Below are 26,614 nucleotides of genomic sequence, written 5' to 3'. Positions count from 1 at the left end.
TAGTGAAGAGAAAAATTATTTCAGACACAATTAATTTGGGTTACATTTTTAAAATTAATTACTGGGCAAGAATTGAATAAACCTAGTATTTTAGTGTCTGGAGACATACTCAGTAGAGAAACAAAGGGAACTTGACCAAATAGATGTGTGAACTTTGGCACTAAATAAAATGATCATTTACATATCTAACTCAACATACTGACAAAATATCATTTTCTACATGTGTGAATTCAATCTCTGTAAGTTCATTTACATCTAATTACTGCTCCAACTTCTAGGCAACTTATAAATTTAGCAAGTGTAGAATAAATTTATCTCATGCAAAGGGTTAGTATTGAGGTTTAGAAGAAATTCTAAGACTGTTGACCATCCATGATTTCAATCATTATATGATAGAAGTTTACATAAAATAATTTGTGATTTTTTTTTTTTTTTTTTTTTTTTTTGGAGTCTGGCTGCATCATCCAGGCTGGAGTGCAGTGGTGCGATTTCAGCTCACTGCAACCTCCACCTCCCGGGTTCAAGTGATTCTTGTGCCTCTGCCTCCTGAGTAGCTGGGATTACAGGCATGCACCACCACGCCTGGCTAATTTTGTATTTTTAGTAGAGATGGGGTTTCGCCCTGTTGGTTTCGCCATGTTGGTCAAGCTGGTCTCAAACGCCCGACCTCAAGTGATCCGCCCGCCTCTGCCTTCTTAACTGCTGGGATTACATGTGTGAGCCACTGCGCCTGGCCTAATTTGTGATTATTATATAAAAAGATATTTACTTTGCATTTTTTCATGACATAAAAACTGATAAATTTAATTAACAATTAATCAAAGCAATTATCTGGTCCTAATTTATTCCCTGATGGAGTGCAAGCTCAAGCTCCGTGGGTGCCGTCATTGTCTAGCTTGTTCCCTGTTATGCCCCTGGTGTTTCCTCTAGTTCTCACTTTAAGTAGGTACTTGGTTAGTATTTCCTTCAAAAAATAAAAAAATAAATACATGCAATATGAAAGTAAAACTTTGAGCTATTGATTTTTTTTTTTTTTTTTTTTTTTTTGTGGTGGAGTCTCTCTCTGTCGCCAGGCTGGAGTGCAGTGGCATGATCTCGGCTCACTGCAACCTCTGCCTCCCGGGTTCAAGCGATTCTCCTGCCTCAGCCTCCCGAGTAGGTGGGACTACAGGCACGTGCCACCACGCCTGGCTAATTTTTGTATTTTTAGTAGAGATGGGGTTTCACCGTGTTGGCCAGAATGATCTTGATCTCTTGACCTCGTGATCTGCCCGCCTCGGCCTCCCAAAGTGCTGGGATTACAGGCATGAGCCACCGAGCCCAGCCTGAAATTTTTTTAATTTAACAATTTCATTGTTATACAGGCACAACCTAATTTTTTTATGCTTTAGTAAATGTTCCCATTACTTTCCTTTAAGTTATAGAGTAAATTGGGAAATGCTAATCTCATACTTCCGTAATACACGATATATAAATGATTGAATAAAACTTCAAGGTAGTTCTATTTTTTAAATTACAGACAATCCCCCAGAGGCTCATCTGTACTTACTGCCAAATGCCCAATGGAAGAATATAAATACAACAATTACTTTTCTAAGAACTTGCTAGTCCTAGGCAATGTTCTCTGCGTGGTAGCTCAATGTCTCCACAGCGACCAAGTGAAGGCCACTGTGAAATAACCCAGCCGGAGCTTCAAGATAAGATTTGAAATAGTATGATTACATGTAATTTCAGGTATCTTGGAAATAATTTGGGGGTTTGGACTAAAAATCTTAGGATTCAAAGCCACTCTCAGCCCACCGTCAGAACTGTGTTTTTTTCTAATCCATCACATGTAGAGGTCTTATCCAAAACCAAATAAATCACTGTCAAGCTGCTTAGGCATCTGAACGGATTAAATCAAGATTCCAACATGAAATAATTTGCATACTAAAAGGAAATCTGCCATTTGATTTCATCTAAGTTTTAAAAGCATCAATGTAGTTCCACATTTGTTCAAGGGAAAAACTGTTAGCTGAACAAGAAAGACCTGAAATTACAAGTCCCATTTGAACCACCTGTCATATTCACTACGTGGGACCTAAGGTCATTTATGGGTTTTGCTATGTTTAGTTGGTAGTATCTTGCATGGAAATAATGCCTTTTGTTGAATCACATCGTTTTAAAATGCTTGTATTTGTTTTTTTATGTAAAGAATTTTGGAAGGGACATAAAAATAGTTAACATTTTTCATTTGGTTCATTTTGTAAATAGATTCACATTACAAATGTTTTAGCTAAATTGCATGGAAGAACTTTAACTATATATGTCAGTCTTGACTGACTAAATTTAACATCCCAGTACAATTATTTAAAATGAATTAATTACCAGATTGAATGAACTATGAAAGGAAATAATTTGTGGATTTTGCAGAGAAATATTCACTGATTAGACTCTGAAATTGCTAACTCAATAAATAATCCAGTGATTAAATCTTTAAATAAGTAAAAAATTCTTCATGCTGACCTGTTTTCACTTATTGATAAGCTTAATTTTTTTTTTTTTTTTTTTGAAACAGAGTCTCCCTCTGTCTCCCAGGCTGGAGTGCAGTGACACGATCTCAGCTCACTGCAGCCTTTGTCTCCCAGGTTCAAGCGATTCTCCTGCCTTAGCCTTCTGAGTAGCTGGGACTACAGGCATGTGCCACCACACCCAGCCAATTTTTGTATTTTTTGGTAGAGACAGGGTTTCACCATGTTGACCAAGCTGGTTTCAAACTCCTGACCTCAAGTGATCTGCCTGCCTCAGCCTCCCAAAGTGCTGGGATTACAGGCCTGAGCCACAGTGACCGGCCTGATACATCTGATTTTAAAAGTGACTTGCTAAGCCATATTTATCTCAAATAATGTTGAATGTTTTCTAGTTGCAGAGTATTTTGAAAATTTGGTTTAATTTTAGAATTGTTTAACTAGTTTTAAATTCTTAGCGTACTATATCCCATCCCACGGAATGTTAAAATACATTGCACCATCCCATTTGTCTATTTCTTCAGTCTATCTCTGCTAAAAGAGCTTTCAGAAAGAAACTGTCAATAGAAACCTGGGCTTCCTCAGCAGACCAAAGCCTTGAGAAGAACACAATTCGCTGTTTTGTATTTGAATGCGCATGTGTGTGTCCTTTTAAAACTCTTTCCATTTGTACAATGACAGATTTCAGATTGGAGTTAATCTGAGCATGGAAGACTATGCCCTGACGTTTGGAATTAATCCCTTCATTGCCTTGATGATTCAACCCATCGTGACGATGACTGTGGTTGACAACCAAGGACTGGGGCTTCCTGTTGACATTCAGGTAAGTGCATGGGCCACTGTGCTCTCATGGACAAAGAGGCATGTTTTCAAAACTATATATCTATATCTATTTATCTTTATACTTTTAAAAATCAGAGTTATTGATAAATAATATACGTGCAGTAAGTTCACACTTTGTATGTACAGTTCTATGAATTAGGGCAAATGTACAGCTGTGTGACTACCACCACAATGAAGATAAACATCAACCCAAACAGTGCTCTTGTGTTTCTCTGCCACCAATCCCCTCTCCCCACCCCTCGTCCCTGGCAACAACTGATTGGTTTTCTATCCATACAGTTTGTCATTATAGAATGCCATATCAATGGAATTATTTTTTATATAGCCTTTTATTTCTAGTTTCTTTCCTTTAGCATGATGTCTTCAATAGAATAATTTTATACTGAGAAATAGAAATATGGTGTAGTTAAGGTTCTATTTCTTAAGAAACCTTTTCATTAAACAGGTGACCTTTTCACTAAAGAGGTGAAGGAATGAAAGAACTGCATAAAATTAAAGCCATAAAGTCATTCCAGTGGAAGTGGTTCTCATTAGCTACAGCTAAAGGTTTTTCCTTGCCCTAGCTAAAGTTCAATCTTATTAAAGCTTAGTTCCCAAATTCTGTAAATCTACTCTGTCTCATGGACAAAATCGTCATTCTTACCTCTCTATAAATAGATGAGAATTCCTACAAAATATTTAGAAGCTATCTTGTTTAAAAGCAAAAAGGCAAAAAGAAATCATTTCAGAATACAAAATTAAATGAAGTAATGCCAGGACATTTTTTAAAAATCTACTTTGTAGTCGCACTTGTTCAACAGAGGAAAGGATTGCTTCCATTTAATAAATCTTAACACTAAGATTCATGTAGATTCAGTACTACACACTTGTTCAATATAATATGCTTGTTTGAGGCTATTCGACGTGTAAGCATTACTTTCTAAAATAAAATGTAAATTCCTAATTTACTATCTGGTTGGCAAATTGCTCTTCAGTTTTTCAGAAATTATTCTGTGTATCATCTGTTAGCGAGAGAACAAGCTTGAAATCAGCAAAATCTGGTTTTGAATCTTGATGTTTATAGTGACATGTTAAAATTTTTTCATTTTGGAAAACTTCAAATACATACAACATTTTGAAAAAATAGTATAATGAAACAAACTTTAACAAATATCAATTTGTGGCCAATCTTGTTTCATCTGTACTCCACTCCCAATGAAATTTCTCACCCCTGCTTCTAAATTATTTTAAAGTAAACCCTAAAGATGTAATATGTTCTTAATGTCTCAATTTTCTTATGAGTAAAATGGAGAATATAAGACTTACTGCATGAGTTCTTACACAGGTTAAGTGCTGGCCTCTAAACCACACTATTCCTGGCCTTTAGTGTTGTCAATAAACAAACATCTCTCTCTCTTTTCCTAATTGAAAAAAATAACATCTATTTACATTAATCAACATGGTTAGGAGGCACTTACCTTTTCTAAAGACTTTTACATTAATCAGCTCCAGATATTTCCCTTACTTTTCGACAAATCCATTATATCCTAAGTTGAAATGAATGAATTCCTATAACTGAATTAGGTAAAATAGGACTAGAAATAAAAACGAGCCATTAATCCTTCTATTCTCCTTTCTGCCACTATTTTGTGTAACCTAATTTAAAATTTCAGTGTCTTCTTTGTTGGCAGATCAACACCTTTTGCTCTTTCTTCAAAAGGCAGGGGGTCACACAGGCATGAAAAGCTGAAAACAAATCTAAAATTTGGCAGAAAAATTCAAGCTTTACCTTTTGTATCCCCTGATACTTCAATGTTTCCGAATCCTTTTACCTTCTTGACCAAGAGGAATAGATTTAAGTCACTCCTTTAAAATCTTTGTATTGCTACCGTATCTTCTCTGCTAGTCTCTGCTGACATCCTCAATGCTGGAACAACTTTCAATTCGGTTCTTCCATGGAAAGCTATTTTAAAGTTTAATTGCTAAAGAAGAGACCAGTTTACCCAGGTACAGAGCAGGATGAGCAAAAACATACAGCTCAAAGGCATAACAGAAGACAAACCCTATTCCTATATACAAAGAAAAAAAGGTGTTATTATGAATGGCTGGTCTTGAAAACTGTGCTTCTTAAAAATTGATTTTTGGTAGGAATCTAATTAAATATGCTTTCATTAAGTTTTTAAGAGCCAGTAATATGGAAGTGCATTGATTAGTAACTCCCAAATCTCAATCATAAATGTCCATTCATCATTGACTCTGTCTGCACTCATGATATTCCACTAATAGGATGCCAAATGCCATTTTTAAAAATTGGAATCTAAAAAGTAGAAAATACAAACTGAATCAGGATTTTTCTCTGACACAGAGATTCAGCAAAGAGTAGGATGCATCGAGACTTCCAGAAGCGATTCCTTCATTTTCCCAGCATCTCTCAAACTGCTGTCACAACATAAGCTATTTATGGAGTTTCAAAGGTCTTAATGGATTTATGAAGATCTTAAAAAGGGGCTTCAAGACACATCTTTGAAGATGACTGAAAGATTAGGGGAAGAGGCCCATGAGGAAAGCTAAAAGAAGCATTTTTATCTCAACTAGAAAAAGCTGAAGAGTAATTTAGTAATAATCACCAAGCCGGTTATGGAGAGAGTGGTAGATATAATTGTCTTTACTGAAGGCACAAGACTGTACTGTGGTTGACTAATGATATAAAATGATTTTCTGGCAGAATCTTGTTTCCAAAAATAGATGAAATTCACAAGTTTGAATATAAGAGGGATTTGGAGGGGGTGGGTAAATAACCATACAACATCTCAAATAAGGTTAATTTTTTAAAATAAGCCTTTAATTAGGTAAATGAAGTAATAACACCCCACAAGTTTTGCACCAGAACACCCACCTCTTGGTTACCTGTTACCAGACCTCTTCATCCCTCTCATCGCCCCCCACTTCCCCACTTTCACCCCCCAATTTGCAGCGATAACTTTTGGAATGAGAAACAGACTGAGTAAGTGCCCATTTCTTCTTGATCAAGGGAGTTGACAGTAAGACTCCTCCGTCATTCACTAATTTCTTTGCCTTCACCCTCCTCCTCCCTGGATGGTCTTGAGGCTTAAGACATGAAAAGCAACTCTTATCACCAAGTTTGGGGAGTACACACAAAAAAGAAAAGGGAAAGTCCAGTGGCGCCAAGTGCCCCTTTGATATCACAGAAACCGCAGCTGCTGTGCTCCTCTGCCTTCATTTTCCTCACTGGGAAATAACGCAGTGACCCTGCCCAGTGCTCACAGCCAGCAGCCGTTGCACTCAGCCACTCTGGGACCAGCTGATGGCCTCTGATTGCACCCTCCATTAGATTAACCAGCTAGGATAACTGGTACTTTAATCTACCTTTAATTAAATAAAAGTTAGAATCATGAAAATGGAATTTTAGTTGTAACCCCAAAGGGATTAGTAAGGAGAGGGGCACTCTGCGTAGAAAGATTACCTCCCGAAACGTCAAACACAGTGATGATATTATTTTAAGTGCATGAAATGGGGATTCGTCTGGATTTGGAATAGGCTCACATACATCAAAATGGATATTTTTCAGTGTGTGTGGAGTATGTGCTATTTGACATTCCAGATAGCCCAGATGAGTGTTCTCACTTCATATTCATGGACTCAAATGCAGGTTGTGTGTGGTCCATCAGGCTTAGGTTCCACTATTTCATAAACTATTTTTTGGTGTCTTAACTCAAAGGACAGCTGAAGTCAAAGGCCAGATTTTCTTTCTTTTCTTTTCTTTTCTTTTTTGAAACAGTCTTGCTTTGTCGCCTAGGCTGGAGTGCAATCTCGGCTCACTGCCACCTCCACCTCCCGAGTAGCTGGGATTACAGGCACATGCAACCACACCCGGCTAATTTTTGTATTTTTAGTAGAGGCAGGGTTTCGCCATGTTGGCCAGGCTGGTCTCGAACTCCTGACCTCAGGTGATACACCCACCTCGGCCTCCCAAAGTGCTCCAATTATAGGCATGAGCCATCGTACGTGGCCCACATTTTCATTATCAAACAAAATAAACTCCTTAAAAGGATTTTGAGTGAGTTTGGGTCCTGATCATTTAGACGTTGCCTTGTTTTCTTACTTTTCTATCCTAATGGAGATGGTCTCCATGCAATTACCTTAGGAGGAATGGGATTGAGGGGTTGAGCTTAAAGGAGAAAGGGGTGCCATGGCTGGAATACGACACCAAATCTCGTGCTGAGGCTTGGTCCCTAATGTGGCAGTGTTGAGAATTGGTGTCTTTAAGAGGTGATTAGGTCATTCAAGAGGGATCGATGCCTTTCTCCTGAAAGTAAGCTCTTGCCTGCTTGGGAATGGATTAGTTACCACTCGAGTGAATTGTTATAAGCAAGGCTGCCTCTCATGTTTGGTCTCTAAACATGCGCTTCCCCTTCCTTCTCCACCATGTTATGACAGCACAAAGCAAAGCCCTCGCCAAAAGCCAGCCAGATGCTGCCACCTGATCTTGGACCTCCCAGCTTCCAGAACTGTGAGCTAAATAAGCTTCTTTTTTAAACAAATGTTTTAGTCTCAGGTATTCTCAGTCAACAGAAAATGGACTAAGATGGGGACTTTAGGGTTGTTTGAAATTTAAACAAATTTCAGTAAATGTTTTTAAATTTTTTTATTAAGAAAAGCTTATTTATTAAAGGCAACAGACTTTTTAAAAAATATTAAAGTAAGAAAGGCTTACTTTCATTAGGCAACAACAGACTGGATATCAGAAAAATCTTTACACCACAAAACCCTTGGATTTCGTGGATATAAATTTAATTAAAAAAAAATAAACGGCTAAACTGGTAAGAAAGTAAGAAAAATCCTCAGATGCCAAAGCAAGAACAGGAAGCCAGATAGCTAAGGAAGCATTGACTCTGCGGTGTGCTCAAGGCATCTGCTGGTTCCCCCAGAACCTAGAGTTTTGGTTTTAGTGACAACCCCAAAGGGCCACATCCTCAGTGAATGGTGAATCAGAACAAAATACAAAATGACAGGGGGAAAATCCCTAATGAAGAAGACTAATCTGGGTGGAGTCTGGAGAATATACCCTCAGCATTTGCCTTTATAAACCAGCACTTACGTAATTCTGGAGTCCTATTCCTATAGGCTAAACTTTTTTTTTCAAGCTGAAAATTTAGTTTAAAGTGGTCCTGATTGGCAGTGTCTCCAGGCACCTATATGTAACAAAGGCAAATGGTTTCTGAAAGAATGTACCTCAATACAGGAATCAAAATATTGCCACAAATAAAATTCCATCGAATAGGAGATTATGATTTTTAAAAATTCAGAATCAAACAAGGATATAAAGTTTCATGAACAAGCCAACTGAAGTAATAAATAGCGAAATCAGACTAACAAAGATTTGACGTAGAAGAATTATCAGTATTAGAATATAAAATAAAATGTTTAATATGTTTACACATGGAGGAAAATAACATCATAAGAATAGAACAAGGTACATAAATAGAACATCATAAGAATAGAACAAAATAATCATGAATTTGGGGAAAAAATAGAACTACAGTCATGGGAAGCATAACTATGTTTCGGTTAATGATGGACCATGTGTATCAGCAGTCCCCACCCTTTTTGACACCAGGGACTGGTTTTGTGGAAGACAATTTTTCCACAAACCAGGGCAGGGGGATGGTTTCAGGATGGTTTCAAGTGCATTATATTTTTGTACATTTTATTTCTATTATTATTGCATTGTAATATATAATGAAGTAATTATACAACTCACCATAATGTAGAATCGGTGGGAGCCCTGAGTTTGTTTTCCTGGGAGACAGTGACAGATCATAAGGCATTAGATTCTCATAAGGAGTGCACAACCTAGATCCCTCGCATGCACAGTTCACAATAGGGTTCCCGCTCCTATGAGAATTTCATGCCATCACTAATCTGACAGGAAGCAGAGCTCAGGCAGTAATGTGAGCAATGGGGAGTGGCTGTAAATACAGATGAAGCTTCTCTTGCACACCTGCCACTCACCTCCTGGTGGTGGCTTGGTTCCTAACAGGCCATGGACCCTGGTACAGGCCCTTGGACTGGAGGTTGAGAACCCCTGGCATATAGGACAGTGGTCCCATAAGATTGTAGTGGAACTGAAAAATCCCTACCACCCAGTGACATCATAGCCATCGTGATGTTGTATCACAAAGCATTACTCATGAGTTTGTGGTGATGCCGGTGTAAACAAACCTACTGCACTGCCAGTCTTATAAAAGTCTAGCACATGCAATTACGTACAGTATATAATACTTGATAATTATAATAAATGGCCAGGTGCGGTGGCTCACGCCTGTAAACCCAACACTTTGGGAGGCCGAGGCGGGCAGATCACCGGAGGTCAGGAGTTTGAGACCAGCATGGCCAATGTGGTGAAACCCTGTCACTACTAAAAAAAAATAATACAAAACTTAGCCGGCCATGGTGGCAGGTGCCTGTAATCCCAGCTACTCAGAGGCTGAGGCAGGAGAATCACTTGAACCTGGGAGGTGGAGGTTGCAGTGAGTCGAGATCGCACCACTGCACTCCAGCCTGGGTGATGGATCAAGACCCTGAAAGAGCAACTTCCAGCCCTGAAGCTCCACTCATGTAAGTGCCCTATATGGGTGTACCATGTTTTATCTCTTATGTGTATTTTTACTGTATCTTTTCTATGTGTAAATACGTTTAGATACACAAATGCTTACCATTGTGTTACAATTGTCTACAGCATTCAGTACAGTAACATGCTGTACAAGTTTACAGCCTAGGAACAATAGGCTATGCCATTTAGCCTAAGTATGTAGTATGCTATGCCATCTAGGTTTGTATAAGTATACCATATGATGTTTGCACAATGACAAAATCACCTGGCAATGCATTTCTCAAGAAATATCCCTGTTATTAAGGATGCATTACTGTAGTCAAGAATAGAAGCTTAATAAACAAGTTAAGAGCTATGTAGAAGTTAAGAGCAATAAAGAAGAAAATATTAAACTGTAAGAACTCATTTAGAATATAGCACAGAGATGAAAGTGGAAAAAATTAACACACATGGAGGTTAGAGTGAGAAAGTTTCACGAATGTCTATTTGACGTTCCTTGGGGAGATAATAAGATAGAAGTGAGAGACAGACAAAGAAATATCCATGGAGAATTTTGCAGATGAGATGAAAGGCATGAATTAGATTTAGGAAGCCTAACAGCTCTCCAAAAGAGTAAATGAAAAGAAATTCAAGTCTAAACACACCGTAGTGAAACTGCAGAATACCAAAGAAAAAGAAATCTTATAAACAGTCAGAAAAATAAAAAGAGCATCACCTACAGAAAAATGATAATTAGATTGACAAATGACTTCTCAATGGCACACAAGGGAAGCCAGAAAGATCGTGGAATAATGCCTTTAAAGTGCTGGGGAAAATAATTGCCAGCTTAGGGTTGTATACAAAGAGAAAAACATTTCAAAAAATGAGAATAAAATAAAGACATTTTCAGACAAAGAGAAATGGAGTGAGTGAGGCACACTCGCTTTGTAAGAGTGTAACAGACCCTTCCAAAAGCAATTTCTAAAGGATGCATTCAAGAAAGAAGGAAAATTACCCCAAAAGGAAGGCATATGATGCAAGAGGGAGTGTGAAACAGAAAACACGTGAGTAAATCTCAACACTGGCCATGTCAAACAGTAGTAACGTTTTATATCTTGAAGAGTTTTGAAAAACATAAGACTAACATCCTGGACAATAATAAATTAGAAATTAGAAGAATGTTCAAAACCAAAGATTTTTGTACTGTTCTAGAGAAGGTAAAAGTTATTAATTAGACACTGCCAGGGTGGCATGCCAAGCCGGGAGGGGTAGCAGCCCACCTGGTGGGGAGCATACTTTATCACCATCATTATTTAGAATTGCTGGTACATGGCAACAATAAAATGCAGACAGGCCCTTCATCAGTTTTACTATTGCTTTTAAATTCTCTACAGGTAATTCTCCTCCTTACTGCCTGTACCTAGGGAAGACCACTTCATCACCACCACTATAGTCCTAGCTAGTTGGGAGGCTGAGACAGGAGGATCACTTGAGCCTAGGAGTTCAAGGCTGCAATGAGCTATGGTTGTCATAAGGAGTGTGCAACCTAGATCCCTCACACGCACAATTCACTATAGGGTTCACGCAGCCTGGGCAACAGAGCAAGACCCTGTCTCTAAAATGTGTGTATATGTATATGTGTTTATACCCATACACATACATAAAAATATTTTATATGAATATAGTTGGGCATTCTTACATAGATTGTTTTGCTTAACATTATATTTGTGAAATTAAGTCATTTCTTTGCTTCCCTTTAAGGCAAAAATTTATGGAAGTGTTGTCTACTTCCTGTCGCTCTAATTCCTCTCTTCACACTTTTTCTTAAACCCATTGATATCCATCTTTCATCTTCAATACTTCGCCAAAACCATTCCTGTCCAGATCACCGATGTCGATCCAGCAGTCATTCATCAGTGCTCACCTCACTTCACGCATCTCACTTCATCCTTTGGTAGCATTGTCACCATTATCACTCTCTCCTCCTTGAAACAGTTCCATACTCGCTTCCAGGGCACCATGCATTTTTAATTTTACTCTTTCTTCACTAGATGCTCCTTTCCGTCTCCTTTGCTGGCCTCTCCTCTTTTTTCAGAGGCTTTTAACCCTGGAGCTCCTAAGGTTAAGTGCTTACAAATTCTTTTCTCTATATAGTCTTTGATGGTTTCATGCAATCTCTATATTTGTATACCGATGACACCAAAAAAATGATAGCTCAGACCTTGACTTCTCCCCCTGAACTTCAGACCACTGTGTCCAGCTGCCTACTACTCAGCATTTCCATTGGGATGTCTAGTAGACACCTGCAATTCAGCATGCTCCAGATGGAATCGTCATCTTGCTCAAAACGGTGCTATCTACAGTTTTTCCCCATCTTTCAAGTTGCTTAGGCCCAAAATCTTGAAGTCCTCCTGTTCACTTGACTCCTTGACTCCTCCTGTTCTCTCTCATCTCAGATATAATGTGTCAAAAAGTATTCTTTATTTTCAAAGTAATTCTAGGAGATAGTTGCTTCTCATCACCTCCATGGCTACCACTCTGTTCTGAGTTGTCACTATCTCTTCTACATGGATTATTGCAAGACCTTCTAACTCATCTCTGCTTTAATCCTTTGCCCTCCTCAACCTAGCCTCAAAATAGCAGTCAGAGCTCTTCATACAATATACATGAGATCATGTCACTTTTCTGCTCTGAACTCTCCAATGGCTTTTCAGTTCATACACAGTAAAAAAACCACAGGCCTGAGGATAACCTGCAAACCCCACCTGATATTCCTGCCCTCTCCTTTACCTGTCTGGTCTCATTTTCTACTATTCTTCCTCTCACTCAGTTCAGCTACACTGGGCTCCTTGAGAGTCTTTAAATATTTCAGAAACCATCTTTGGACTTTAGCTTCCTTTCCCTGGAATGCTCTTTCACCCAGATATTGCTCTGTGACTCACTTCCTTTAAGTCTTTGTTCAAATGTCTCCTTTTCAATGAGGCCTGCCATGATGATCATATTTAAATTTGCATCTCTTCTTACCTTGTAATACAGTCTTTCTGAATCTTTATTTCTACATTCTGGGTCCTTATTTTTAAAAATACAAACTGAAATGTTTATTAAATATTAAATATTAAATTAATAAATATTATTAAATTATATGATACAGGATTCAAATTAACCCATGGGGGGAAAGGGTAAATGGTTGGGTCATTGATGAAACTAGATTGGCCATGAATTGATAATTGATGAAACTGGGTGCCATGAAAGACTGGGCCATCATGAGCCCCATTGAAACCACACCCATCAGCCAGTGAACTGGGCACAATCAAATTATTTAATGGAACAGATTGAAACAAACCATCTACATGACCTCAGTGAGCAAATGAAACCCAAAATACAGTTTCAACACATTCAAGTCTACCCCCAAAACAACATGGAAACCAAAAGAGTGGGACCATCTAAGAGCACTAACCTCGGTCATGCTAGTGTTTTACAGATGTGATTAAAGTCCATAATCAGTTGATTTTAAATACAGTCCTAGAGGATCTGATTCAATAATCTGGGTAGACCTGATTCAATCAGGGGAAAGGCCTTACCAGCAGTGCTGAAGTTCCTCTGAAAAGGGAGATTTGGTCTGTGTTCAGGGGCTTCAGCCTGTGCCTGTGAGTCCTAGCCCACCCATTCTGATGGCCTGTCCTGTGAATTTTGGACTGCCTTACCAGCCTCCATCACCATGGGAGCCAACTTTTTTAAATTAGTTTCTTAATTTATATCTCCTATTTGTTCTGCATCTCAGGTTGAACCCTGCCTGATGTAGATTTAAACAAGTAATGTACTTTCTTTCACTTAGTTTGTAGCACTAATTTGTTGAATAACCCATCAGGCTTGGGAGCTCAGGTAGCCAGCAGCAGTGGATATGTTCCACTATTACAGCTCAAATTCTTAGCTGTAGGGGGCTGTACCCCCTCAGGCCACAGTGATGGTCTGTGCCACAAGCAGCCTATGTTAGTGCTTGTAATACATGAAGTGGTAGGAACCATGGTCACCAGCACCCAGAATGGCCTGAGGGCCCCACCTGGAAGCAGATAAGCACCACAGGTCACCATGTTTGTCCTCAAACATCCCAATGTCACCAGGCTAATTATTCCCCTAAGGGGACCTGGAAATATTGCCATATGGATTCCAATATCCAAGAACCCCAGAAAAGTCTGAATTCCCCTTCTTTCCCTTTCTGTATGGACTGGAGTATAGCGCCGTTGACCTCCAGTGGAGACCCAGAGACCTTGGCCTCAATCTAACCACACCATTTAGCCTGAGACATTGGGTCTGCAATGTCCTTTTATCAAACAAACACATCAACCAGGCTGCATAAGCCATCTCTGAACCATCTCCATACCTGTCCTTTAGCTAGAGAGTCTCCTCTTCTGTGGCAGCCTGCATTGCATGGTTGGTTCCTGCTCAGATGCCTCAGGACCACATCCTTCTCAGGTGCCTCAGGGTCCATCTGAGCATTCTCTTCCTGAGCTCTGCAGCCCCAGGAATGAAGGATCACATCAGTGCCCAACATTCAGGGCCATGCGCCACAATCTCGTTTCCACGTGCCTTCCTGGCAGCCTCAGTCCATGTCCAGCTCACTCACATCCAGGAGTCCCACATATAACCCCTCCTGACCCATAACATGTCCAGCAGTACCATCTAGCTCTTGTGCCCCCAGGCTGACGTCTCCACCTTCAACCAGGTACTAGGGGGTTTTGCCCCCTGCTTCACCAATAAGCCATGATTCTGTCAGACTGGACCCCGCCTGCTGTGTCAGTTTTGGGGAGCAAATTCACTGTGCACTGATTACCAATTTTTCTGAGTCCAGGGAGGCTCACACCCACACACACAATGAATGACATGAAGCAGGTTGATTACTTATAGGCAGGCAGCAAGGGGCATCAGAAGCCTGAGATTCATCATGATCAAGAAGCCGGGCTCAGGAAGCCATGTGAGGCAGATGAAGTCCGTCAGTGTCATAATTTTCAGTGCAAGGTGTTTTTGTTTCCATTGCTCTCACTTTCTCTCCTCATCCCAATCACACACACACCCTGACCCAGCACCACTTGCCTCTACCTGTCTAGCAGTTTTGCAGTTGTCTTTTCCTGTCCCATCCCCAGGCCCCATCCCGTAGTGCTAATGGGGATAATAATAGATTATTCTCAAGCCTGCAGAGGATTTAGGTCAATCTGTAGCCTAAGACTGTGTCTGGGCTGGGCGTGTTGGCTCATGTTTGTAATTCCAACACTTTGGGAGGCCGAGGCAGGCAGATGACCAGAGATCAGGAGTTCGAGACCAGCCTGTCCAACATGGTGAAACCCCGTCTCTACTAAAAATAAGAAGAAGAAAAAATTAGTCAGGTGTGGTGGCAGGCACCTGTAATCCCAGCTACTCAGGAGGCTGAGACAGGAGAATCGCTTGAATTCGAGAAGCGGAGGTTGCAGTGAGCTGAGATCCCACCACTGCACTCCAGCCTGGGTGACAGAGTGAGACTCTGTCTCAAAAAAAAAAAAAGACTGTGTCTGTATCCTCCAGTCTCTCTAAGGCAGTGGTCCCCAACTTTTTGGCATCAGGGACTGGTTTTGTGGAAGACAGTTTTTCCATGGGAAGTGGGGAGATGGTTTCAGGATGATTCAAGCACATTACCCTTATTGTGCATTTTATTTCTATTATTATTACAATGTAATATATCATGAAATAATTGTACAACTCACCATAATGTAGAATCAGTGGGAGCCCTGAGCTTGTTTTCCTGCAAATAGATGGTCCCATCTGGGGGTGATGAGAGACAGTGACCGATCAACAGGCATTGGATTCTCATAAGGTATGTACAACCTAGATCCCTCACATGCGGAGTTCACAATAGGGTTTGTGCTCCTATGAGAAGCTAATGCTGTGGCTGCTGATCTGACAGGAGGCGGAGCTTGGGTGGTAATGTGATGGTAATGTGAACGATGGGGAGAGGTGTAAATACAGATGAAGCTTCGCTCACTTGCCCACCGCTCACCTCCTGCTGTGAGTCCTGGTCCGTGGCCTGGTGTTTGGGGACACCTGGTATAAGGGGTTAGCAGTTCAGAATCCACAGCCTGGGGCAGCAAGGACAGCAGGTTTATTCCAAGACGAAGGTGGCCCCACTCTGACACCTATCTTCAAAAGTGAGACTGGCTCTGATCCCCCACTCTCATGAGGTATTTGGCCTCTCTTGTATCCTACGCACGTCATGCCTGTGACCCAGAACCCAGCAAGCCCACAGCTCCAGCCCTGCATTTTATATTTTCAGTCTGTGATCCACAGAGATAGATGTCTTGTTTTTGAGTTCAGCTATGTTGTTATTTTATTTTTATATGTTATATACACATATCTATCCTGTGTATATAACACAAAAACAAACTTTCTTTTTCCTGTTTTGAGCAGAGGCCGCATCAATGTGTGAACACATGAAACCATCTTGATCCCAAATCTCCTTAGCCTGAAGTCTCTTCAGCAAACAGAACCATAGAATCTCAACAGTCAGAAAAAGTGTGGAAGCTAGAGAAAATAATCAACAAGAAAAAAGGAAGGGAAAGGAAAGAGCAACATGCTCTTCGTTAAATTGAAGCACTGAAAAAAAGACTTCCTCCTTCAAAGAAGTTTGAAAACCCCCTTCCCACCGGCTTTCTTTTATTAGGCCCTGATTTCATTTCTTGCTTTTACTAAAGGTAGTAAAGAAGACGGTGTCACTGGGAGAATTTTTCCACAATCGAATGTATTTGGTTTTAAAATGTTTCAACAAATATTAGCCAGGTACGGGGGCAGGCGCCTCTAATCCCAGCTACTCAGGAGGCTGAGGCAGGAGAATCGCTTGACCCTGGGAGGCGGAGGTTGCAGTGAGCCAAGATCACGCCATTGCACTCCAGCCTGAGCGACAAAGCAAGACTCTGTCTCAAAATAAATAAATAAATAAAAGGTTTCAAATGTCTTCCACGAAATGTTGCAGTGTATGGAAAAAAAGGAAAAGAAGAAAACCTCACACACAGGAGAAAGGGAGGAAGAAGAAAGAAGAATATGAAACATATGAATGAACGAAACCCAGCGAAACCCAGCTGAGCTTACCCCACCATTAAATTCCATATTTGTTCTTGATTGCAACACCTGAGCTTGGCATGTGGGTCTATCACTGAAGGGCTGTGTCGTCTTACATCAATAAAACAGGGGCCCCAGGCCGGGTCCTGTGGCTCATGCCTATAATCCCAGCACCTTGGGAGGCTGAGGCGGGTGGATCACTTGAGGTCAGTAGTTCGAGACCAGTCTGGCCAGCATGGCGAAACCTTGTCTGTACTAAAAATACAAAAATCAGCTGGGCGTGGTGGCTCATGCCTATAGTCCCAGCTACTCAGGAGGCTGAGGCAGGATAATCACTTGAACCCGGGAGGCAGAGGTTGCAGTGAGCCGAGATCACGCCACTACACTCCAGCCTGAGGAGCAGAGTGAGACTCTATCTCAAAAAAAAACAAAAACAAAAACAGGGACCCTGGATCTCCAGGGAGGAAGACACACTGCAGGCTTGTTCTGAGGCAACATAATGTGTCACTGAGCAAGGCTGGTCCCCAGAGGCCCGGCCACAGCTTCTTACATGATCCTTTGCTGCATTGCTGCCATAGCAAGTGTTTTTCATCTTTTTCCTTTTTTTTTTTTTTTGGTTATTGTTTAGTGTGTGTGTGTGTGTGTGTGTGTGTGTGTGTGTGTCAGGGTCTTGCTGGGTCCCCCAGACTGTAGTGCAGTGGCATGATCTCGGCTCACTGCAGCCTCAACCTCCTAGGCTCAAGTGATCCTCCTGCCCCAGCCTCCCGAGTAGCTGAGACTACAGGCACGCACCACCACACCTGGCTAATTTTTGTATTTTTTGTAGAGACGGGGGAACTCACCATGTTGCCCAGGTTGGTCTTGAACTCCTGGACTCTCCTGCCTTGGCCTCCTAAAGTGATGGGATTACAGGGATGAGCCAGGGCACAAGTGTTTCAAAGGCTTTGTTCCAAGATAAAAAAGATAAAACATCTCTCCAGTTTCTGAACAGACAAACCAGAATTCAGTGTGATCAAGTGGAAGAAAGGCAAAAAGAGAAGTTTTTATGGGCACTTAGTTTATTTTGTTAGGAAATTTGGACAATGTTATGTGATAACTAAGAACACAAAAGCAAAGAAACAAAAGAAGCATCGCATGCCGATGGGAAAAGTGGAACTAAGACGGAGCTGCATAGCCATGAGCATGTCCATCAGACCAAACACGAGGAGTTGTGATTTCATTTCCCTGAGGTCAGTGACCTGGACAGTTTCACAGCTGCTGTGCTGTTCTCATATTTTTCCATGAGATCGTTCCTATTAGTTTGGAAGCTTTTCAGACGGAAAGACATGAAACACCAAAGAAAAACAGCAACAGAGTTCAAGACCACAGAGGAGGGGGAGACCAGACAGGATGGGAAGGATGGGAGTCTTACCTACAGGGCAGATACCTGCAGCCCCTGCCCAGAGGCCGGGGGCCCGCCTAGCAGCAGCATTGCTTCTGGCAGCAGCATTTCTGTTGGCAACAGCCCTTCCCATAGCCACAGCCACACGAGCCGCAGGTGCGGCGGCAGCAGCAGATCACGGGAGTGCTGCAGCAGCCTCCACAGCAGCCGCGGCAGCAGGGGCAGCAGCTGGAGCAGCAGCCCACCCGGTAGCACCTGCAGGTGGTGCAGCTGCCACAGCCACCACCACAGCCACCACCGCAGCCACCACCGCAGCCACCACTGCAGCCACCACCACAGCCACCACCGCAGCGGCCACCACAGCCACCACAACTTCCACAACCACAGCAACCCATGGTGTCAGTAGAGGACTCAGGTGAAGTGAGCAGAGAGGACTCAGGAGAGGTGAGGAGGTCTGATGCCTCCTTCTGCTGGGGGACACCCTTATGTACCATCTTGGGGAAAGGAAGAGGGAGTGACCCAGGACACATGACCAGTGGTCACTTCCTTGTTGTTGCTACTGCAGTTTCCATGATAAGGTTATCTAGGACTATTCCTTGTTTACATCCTTATGGACTATATTTGACCCAAAACATTTGCTAATTTTCACTTGTCTCTGTTAAAACCAGATTAAAAGCAAGCCAAGAGATGCTAACATGTAGGAGAGGATCTTCATTTACTCAGAAACCACTTGAATCCTTGAGACTTCGGGTTAAGCCGGAACCCAAGGTGGCTGCCAGCTGCTTTTCCATCTCTCTGCCATGGCTTCTCTCCAGGAAATCACCCTGCTTTCATGGAAATTCCCGAGATGCAAAAGAGTAAATAAGAGCATCCAAATAAAACATGTCATTTTTGCAAAAATGCTCACTTGCCAACTATATTTCTGAAGGGATCTTTATAGTAAATGACTCTTTTTTCTGTTTTGTTTCCGCTCACAATTGTCTATGATAAGGCTTGAAGCAACACTCCCTTCCCTTCTCACTCCGTCCTGCCTCCCAGAGTGCTGACATTCACACCCATGTGTAGATTTCCATATGCGTATTCCCTGGTTAGTTTCTCCATGGGGTGCCTCCAGCTCAGACTCTCCTGCGGACTACAAAATCCATCAATAGCCACTCTCCATTCCACCTTCTCCCCTTGGAGTTTCAGGGACACCTCCAATGTCACATGCTCCAGACTCAAGTCATAATTCTCCCTGCCTGATCACCAACTAGCCACCAAAATAAAACTGTGTGTTCCCTCCACTGCTCCGTATCCATCAAGATATGAATCCATGTTAAAAATTATCTTTGAATCTTTCTTTTCTCTTAGTTCCATTTCTAGTCTTTCACCAAATTCTGTTGCTTCTGCCTCGTTAATAACTTCAAACCTATTCACGTCTCTCTAGCTCCACTGTCCCCGCGACCCCAGTTCAAGCAACTCCCTGACAAGTTGAAAATGCTCTGTTTAGTCCATATACCACAGAGACAGCTTGAGGTCATTAATAAACAACTCTAATCAGCCACAGGGACGTGGCAGCACTTTCTCTTGCTCAAATTTCTGAAGAACAATTTTACCAAGTTGGGAAAACAGGCTTTGGGCAGCGAGCCTGTTACAAAATGAGTTGGAGGATGATCTCGTCTGCAGCAGAGATGCTGACTGCTGTCTGCTGAGCACTGACTGATCGCCAGAAGCCTCTACCTCAGCATGCATGGAGAAGACCCTGCTTGCACTCATATTTTTCTTGCCTTTTTTACAGGCTTCTTGTTGGTCACAAATTCTCACACTCCACCATGATCCACAGCCACAGGCTTCTCCTTGGAGCCATAAACTCCTTTCCTCCCCATGCTGGGCCTTCATTCAGCTCAGCAAGCTTCTCTGACCTCTGGACCATGTGTCCCTCGATGTTCCCACCCTGCGCTCTCCCAATAGCCCAAGAGCCTGCTCTCTAGGGAGCCCAGGCCAGGCTATTTAGCACAGACTTTTTTCTCTCAGCCATCAATTGACATCACCTAATCAAGGACAAAAATGAATTCCTGGCCGGGCGCAGTGCCTCGTGCCTGTAATCCCAGCACTTTGGGAGGCCAAGGCAGGAGGATTGCTTGAACTCAGGAGTTCGAGACCAGCCTGGCCAACATGGTGAAACTCTGTCTCTACTAAAAATACAAAAATCAGCCAGGCATGGTGGCACATGCCTGTAATCCCAGCTACTCGGGAGGCTGAGGCAGGAGAATCGCTTAAAACCGGGAGGTGGAGTTTACAGTGAACCAGACCAAGAATTACATCACCAAAATGCAGACTCCTAAGAGGATTGATTTCTGCTTTTGAAATAATCATTAAGACCTGGTGTGCAGAAGACAAATCACAATGATGTGCTTCAAATGAGGAGGGAGGGAGCAGCCCCAGTGCCTTCACTGGTCAATAAATGGGATGATGGCATCTGACTTTGGCAGTGACCTTTGAATCTGTGGCCATTTACACCTCCCAGCTTGCGTTGTTACTTACTATTGCAAGCCCTTTGAAGTCAGGGACTGTGCCTTCAATATCACTGTACCTATCGCTGAGAAGCTCTCAGATTGTTCAGTGCAGGGACTGCCTGGTGCTGTGTGGGGTTTGTAAGCCCTGCTAACAACTCATGGACCTATGCACATGGCGCGTATTCCCAGGGCATCTTAGGAAGAAGGAGAAGGCTGTCATTACTAAGGACAGCCTCACCACACGTCAGCTCCCAGAATGCTTCCCTAGAACTTTTAGGCCTTTTTAACTTATACTGGCATATAGTTTTATGAAAAAAATAAACAAAACCAAAAATGTAGTGAAGACAAAGATGTCTGAAAGGAAAGTCAATATGAGATGGAGGGATTCTTCCATGTACATCAAGTCAAATGACAACAAGGAAGTGGTCATGTGCCTTCCCTCTCCTGTCTCCAGAGTTGGTATATAAGGGCCTCCCCCAGGAGAAGGAGGCATCAGACCTCCTCACCTCTCCTGAGTCCTCCTTCTTCACTTCATCCGCATCCTCTCTACTGACACCATGGGCTGCTGTGGTTGTGGAAGTTGTGGTGGCTGTGGTGGTGGCTGTGGTGGCTGCGGTGGTGGCTGCGGTGGTGGCTGCGGTGGTGGCTGTGGTGGTGTCTGTGGCAGCTGCACCACCTGCAGGTGCTACCGGGTGGGCTGCTGCTCCAGCTGCTGCCCCTGCTGCCGCGGCTGCTGTGGAGGCTGTTGCAGCACACCTGTGATCTGCTGCTGCCGCCGCACCTGCCGCTCATGTGGCTGTGGCTGTAGGAAGGGCTGTTGCCAGCAGAAGTGCTGCTGCCAGAAGCAATGCTGCTGTTAGGTAGGGCCCTCAGCCTCTGGCAGCTGCTGCAGGTAACTGCTGTAGGTAAGCTTTCCCCTTCTGGCTGCCACTGACTAATAGGACACAAGCATGACCTGAACCTGTCACCTGCCCGTGAGTATTTCACATTTCTATAGTTTTTTTGTGATTCTGCCTGCATTTAATCATCATCACCAACAAAAATAACAACCATGCAGCCTTCTATGTTGATTACAACTCAAGTCATGACCTCAACAAAATGGAGTGAAGATAGTTAGACCTTGAAATGCCTCTAAGGTTGCCTTCATTTCTGTGCTGTTTTTACCGCTGCCTGGGTATATTTGTATACACAAAGCAACACTTATCTTAATAAATTATACTAAATCATTCTCAAAGAGCTATCTCTTTTGTTCTTTCCAGTCTCTAAACTGTCTGTCCATGGGGAAAAATGAGTTTTATCCCAAAAGATAAATCAAAGAATAAAAAACTAGATGAATTCTTTACACTAGACACATAGATTCGTGGATGATTAATTCACTGTGGGTTTGTAAAGAAGGAAGGGACTTGGGGGGCACATACTCAGCCTGATACTTCATTATCATAAACCAAAACTTTCCCCAAATCTCTCTCTTGATAGAGTCTTAGAAACAGAAGTCTGGACTCATAAATACCTGTTCAGACTCCAAATGGTCATATGATCATTCAGGAGCCTGACCACTTTTGGGCAATGATGAAATTTGGCTCTTAGCCATGTTAGGTATCATGGAAGTCTGTGGTATCAACCACTTCAAACTACAAAATTAGCTTTCAGTTGTAATGTGAGACTATCAGCATTAGAATCAAAATAATGATACACCCTACTGAGAGTGTCCCCATGCACAATAAAAAATGTCCCCAAACACCCATTTTGCTAATTTTTCATAGAGATTCCCTGATCCTTTTCTTTGCAGACTTCAGATTCTTGATTTATTGTGGCTAGTTTAGCAGCAAAGTGAGAAGGAAACAAGGCAGAGAGCGGGGAATCCCAGCTTGGGTGAGCAGTGGGGCGGGGGCTGAGGGAAGCCAAGCTCCTTGGGTGTGTCTCCCGGAGAAGCTGGTTCTTGCACCAGCCCCACGAGGACCACTTAGGGTGTGTCCTTGTTACTCTAAGCACAGTTTGGCTCTGGACAGAAGCTTAAACAGGTTGAACTGACCAAATGAATGTTATAACCAAAGGGAACATGAGTCAAATAACCATGTCAAATAAGATTTCCAAAGAGGGGAAGATGCTGTCACAGAAAGACAGTTTTCCTTCCACCTTGAAATTCAGAAGAGAGGGTTTGGAGGCAGGTGCGAGATGAGCCCTCTGAAGTCTAAGTTGACAAGGTGGTTTTGGGCACTCATCTGGCTCTGTCTCTATTCCCTTTCCAGCTCCAACAGCCCTGAGCCTCTAATACCCTCAGGCTACCCAAAGGCCCTTACTTACTCTCAGCCTTTAGGAATTACCTCTGGGGCTCCACCCTCTCACTCATTCTTCCCTCCCAGGCTTCACCTGTAGAACTGCCCCCTCCCTTGTGATGGTTCTCAGCTGGAAGAGCGGGGTCAGGAGAGAAGTGCCAGTTCATCCATCTTACGCTAAGGCAAGTGGCATCCGCTTTTCCCCACTGAGGGAGGACCCCTCAAGTCGCTTTTCCCAGTAATGTTGACCAACCTAATGGGCAGAATTCTGGGACATGTGGTTTTTCCAGCCACCAAGACCCAACACTTCTTAGGCACTTGCTCCTCCTGTCCCACTCGCTGAAAATGTGAGTTTGTTTCCAGTCAGCGTAAATAGAAGATGTGGCTGTCTGCCAGGATTTGCTGGGTCTCAATACTCATGTTGACATAGATTTGTGAAAAAAGAACCCAGGTGGCCTGGTATGGGGTTTGTGTTGTGTGTGTATATATGTACATATATTATGAGATAGTCAGATGGTCTGTCAGGCGCGGCCACAAGAAGAGGCAAAGGCGGCTGGGCACGGTGGCTCATGCTTGTAATCGTAGCACTTTGTGAGGCCGAGGTGGTTGGATCACCTGAGGTCAGTAGTTCAAGACCAGCCTGACCAATATGGTGAAACCCCAACTCTACTAAAAATATATATACAAAAATTAGCTGGGCACAGTGGCATGTGCCTGTAGTCCCAACTACTCGGGAAGCTGAGACAGAGAATTACTTGAACCCGTGAGGTGGAGGTTGCAGTGAGCCAAGATCGTGCCACTGGGCAACAGAGTGAGACTTTATCTCAAAAATTAAATAAATAAATAAATAAAAAGAAGAGACAAAGGATAGGTTCAGGAAAACAGTGTATTCCCATCACAGGTCCTAAAGAGATGGAGTCACTGCATGCCAAGAGGGGGTCACATGGGAGGCAGCACCGGGGGAGTGGTCTCAGCCAGGCAGACAGGGAGAAAGGACCCATAGGCTTGCTCACGGGTGTCAGGGTGGAATATATGAGCAAGAGGTGCAGGGGTGTCCATCAGTGCATCTGAATGTTACTGGGTCTCAGTCAGGGGAGGACAGGGAGGTGAACCTGTGGCAGGGGCTAAACATACCACGCTGGGGCTCACCTGGGAGAGATGCGCAAAACTTACAATGCAGTGCACTGGGGGCACCTGTCTGCATCTCACCCCCGCAGAGGAGTGGCTGTAGGTACCTCCCTGTAATCCAATTGTGAGTTGGAGTCTTGCTTTAGGCTGTCTGAATAATTAGCACAAATGTAGTCAACTATCCCCTACTGTAGGGGAATTTATAGGCAGGGCTTATAGGGATTTGCAAAGCAAGTGAGAATACTAGCAGATTGAAAAATGAAAACAATTTGTTGGGCACAATCGAACTACAGAAATATCTTCTTTAAATTCTGACTATCTTTTTTTCTTTTTTCAGTATTAAGTCCATCTGAGAAACTAGAGCCTTGGGACCCAGGGATGAGGAAACTTACCGTACAGACATGCGGGCTGACCTTCATTCACCCTGCGGGCCATGGCCTCTGCCATCCAACTGCAGAGGCTTCAGCCGAAACTCTCTCCAGCACTGCCCTAAACAGACCAAGTGTGAGGGAGGGAGCATGTAATGAAAAGTCCACAGAGAACAAGAAGCCACAAGATTCGGTGCTCTGGAGCCATTCTAGATGGTTTCAGGGGAACTAGCTTCCCACCTCTGACAGGGATACCATGGCAAATACCACTCTTTGCCTAGGATTATAATTCTTTGTGCACAATGCATCCCATCCCAAAGACAGTCCACAGCAGGACTTGCTCCATCTCTGAACTGGTCTTACCCCCTTAAACCTGCCTTTATATCTAGGAGTTTCTTTATTTTATTTTATTTTTTTGAGACAGAGTCTCGCTCCATTGCCCAGGCTGGACTGCAGCGGCGTGATCTCAGCTCACTGCAACCTCCACCTCCTGGGTTCAAGTGATTCTTGTGCCTCAGCCTCCCAAGTAGCTGGGATTAAAGGCACGTGCCACCATGACTGGCCAATTTTTATATTTTTAGTAGAGATGAGGTTTCACCATGTTGGCCAGGCTGGTCTCAAACTCTTGACTTCAAGTGATCCGCCCGCCTCAGCCTCCCAAAGTGCTGGGATTACAGGTGTGAGCCACCAGGCCCAGCCTATATCTAGGAGTCTCTTGATGAGCATTGGTCGACAGAAAGAAGTCTCTTCTAAAAATTGTTAATGCTTTTATAGACTACTCATAGTCTGAGTCATAAAACATCATTTGCCTTTCAATTTATACCTTCCAAGTGAATATGATTATTGAGGATTATCTAATTATTATCTACGTTTCTCTCTAGATATAAAAAACACCATAGATCCTATACACACAAAAATGGTTTTTCTATCAGAAATGGACTCACTCGCCTGGCAAAAGGACACAGATTAGATTATTCTAATCTCAAGGCCCCTTAGGCTTATGAATTCAAAAAAAAAAATAGAAGAAATGAACAAAAACTTAAATCACAGTTTGTTATTAAGTAATATCTGAAATGAATTAGAAAGAAACCATAAGCCTTAACAATACTCCAATCACAGTTAAATTAATTTAGACAGAAAAGCAAATAGCAATTGACTTGAAAATAAGAAGTGGAGCCGAAGGTGGATACAAGAAATCCAGGAGGGCTAAGATAAATCCCAAATCCAATGTTCATCAATGCCTACACATTCAGTACAACCTGATGGCATTAATTCTGTGGTTGGGGAAATGTGAAAGTGAAATCGATAATACCACAGTTCTAAATGTGCACTGTTGGCTGAACTTATGGTGTGGTGGGGGGTGGTAAAAATTAGGCTTCTAAGAAAGGATGGGACTCTGCCCTCCAGGCAAGGAGTAAATGGCCCCAGCAGATGGAAAACTAAAGCAAATGTAATCACCTGCATTTTGAAAATAGGTGTGTTTCTGAGAATTTGTTTGAATTAGTTCTTTGTAAATAAAACAGGATTTTGAATGCATTCAGGAAGCTTGTCTTTTTTTTTTTTTTTTTTTTTTTTTTTACAGAGTCTCGCTCTGTGGCCCAGGCTGGAGTGCAGTAGCACAATCTCGGCTCACTACAACCTCTGTCTCCAGAGTTCAAGCGATTCTCCTGCCTCAGCCTCCTGAGTAGCTGGGATTACAGGTGTGCGCCACCACGCCCGGCTAATTTTTTTGTATTTTTAGTAGAGATGGGGTTTTGCCATGTTGGCCAGGCTGGTCTTGAACTCCCAACCTCAGGTGATCTGCCCGCCTCGACCTCCCAAAGTGCTAGGATTACAGATGTGAGCCACTGCGCCTGGCCCAGCTTGTCTATTTTTAAAGGAACCTCACATCTCAAAATTGAATACGAACTGTAGAGAGAAGCTGGACATTCAAGTATTCTG

General features: G+C 42.6%; 2 protein-coding genes, 1 long non-coding RNA gene and 1 pseudogene across 5 annotated transcripts; 3 read left to right on the top strand and 1 right to left on the bottom strand.

Annotated features, from left to right (window-relative positions):
- Nucleotides 1-2,978: 2,978 nt before the first annotated feature.
- SLC19A4P (solute carrier family 19 member 4, pseudogene) lies at nt 2,979-26,209 on the top strand (annotated as a pseudogene). 2 transcript variants are annotated; one of them, NR_172911.1, is made up of 4 exons: nt 2,979-3,330; nt 7,788-7,860; nt 23,265-23,359; nt 24,643-26,209. The product of NR_172911.1 is annotated as a solute carrier family 19 member 4, pseudogene, transcript variant 2 (transcript). The 2 variants fall into 2 exon arrangements; NR_172912.1 differs by lacking the exon at nt 23,265-23,359.
- Nucleotides 17,644-19,308, top strand: LOC729968 (spore coat protein SP96). The gene is made up of 2 exons (NR_149019.1): nt 17,644-18,821; nt 19,075-19,308. It is a non-coding gene; the product is annotated as a spore coat protein SP96 (long non-coding RNA).
- Nucleotides 18,484-18,801, bottom strand: SCYGR4 (small cysteine and glycine repeat containing 4). The gene has a single exon (NM_001395405.1). The coding sequence runs from the start codon at nt 18,799-18,801 to the stop codon at nt 18,484-18,486; it is 318 nt and encodes a 105-aa protein (NP_001382334.1).
- Nucleotides 21,459-21,761, top strand: SCYGR3 (small cysteine and glycine repeat containing 3). Its single transcript, NM_001395404.1, has one exon. The coding sequence runs from the start codon at nt 21,459-21,461 to the stop codon at nt 21,759-21,761; it is 303 nt and encodes a 100-aa protein (NP_001382333.1).
- Nucleotides 26,210-26,614: the final 405 nt, after the last annotated feature.

This window comes from Homo sapiens, chromosome 2 (assembly GCF_000001405.40).
Source record: "Homo sapiens chromosome 2, GRCh38.p14 Primary Assembly".
Lineage (NCBI taxonomy): Eukaryota > Metazoa > Chordata > Mammalia > Primates > Hominidae > Homo > Homo sapiens.
Note: the sequence above shows the minus strand (reverse complement) of the source record. Positions and strands in the feature narration are given on the sequence as shown.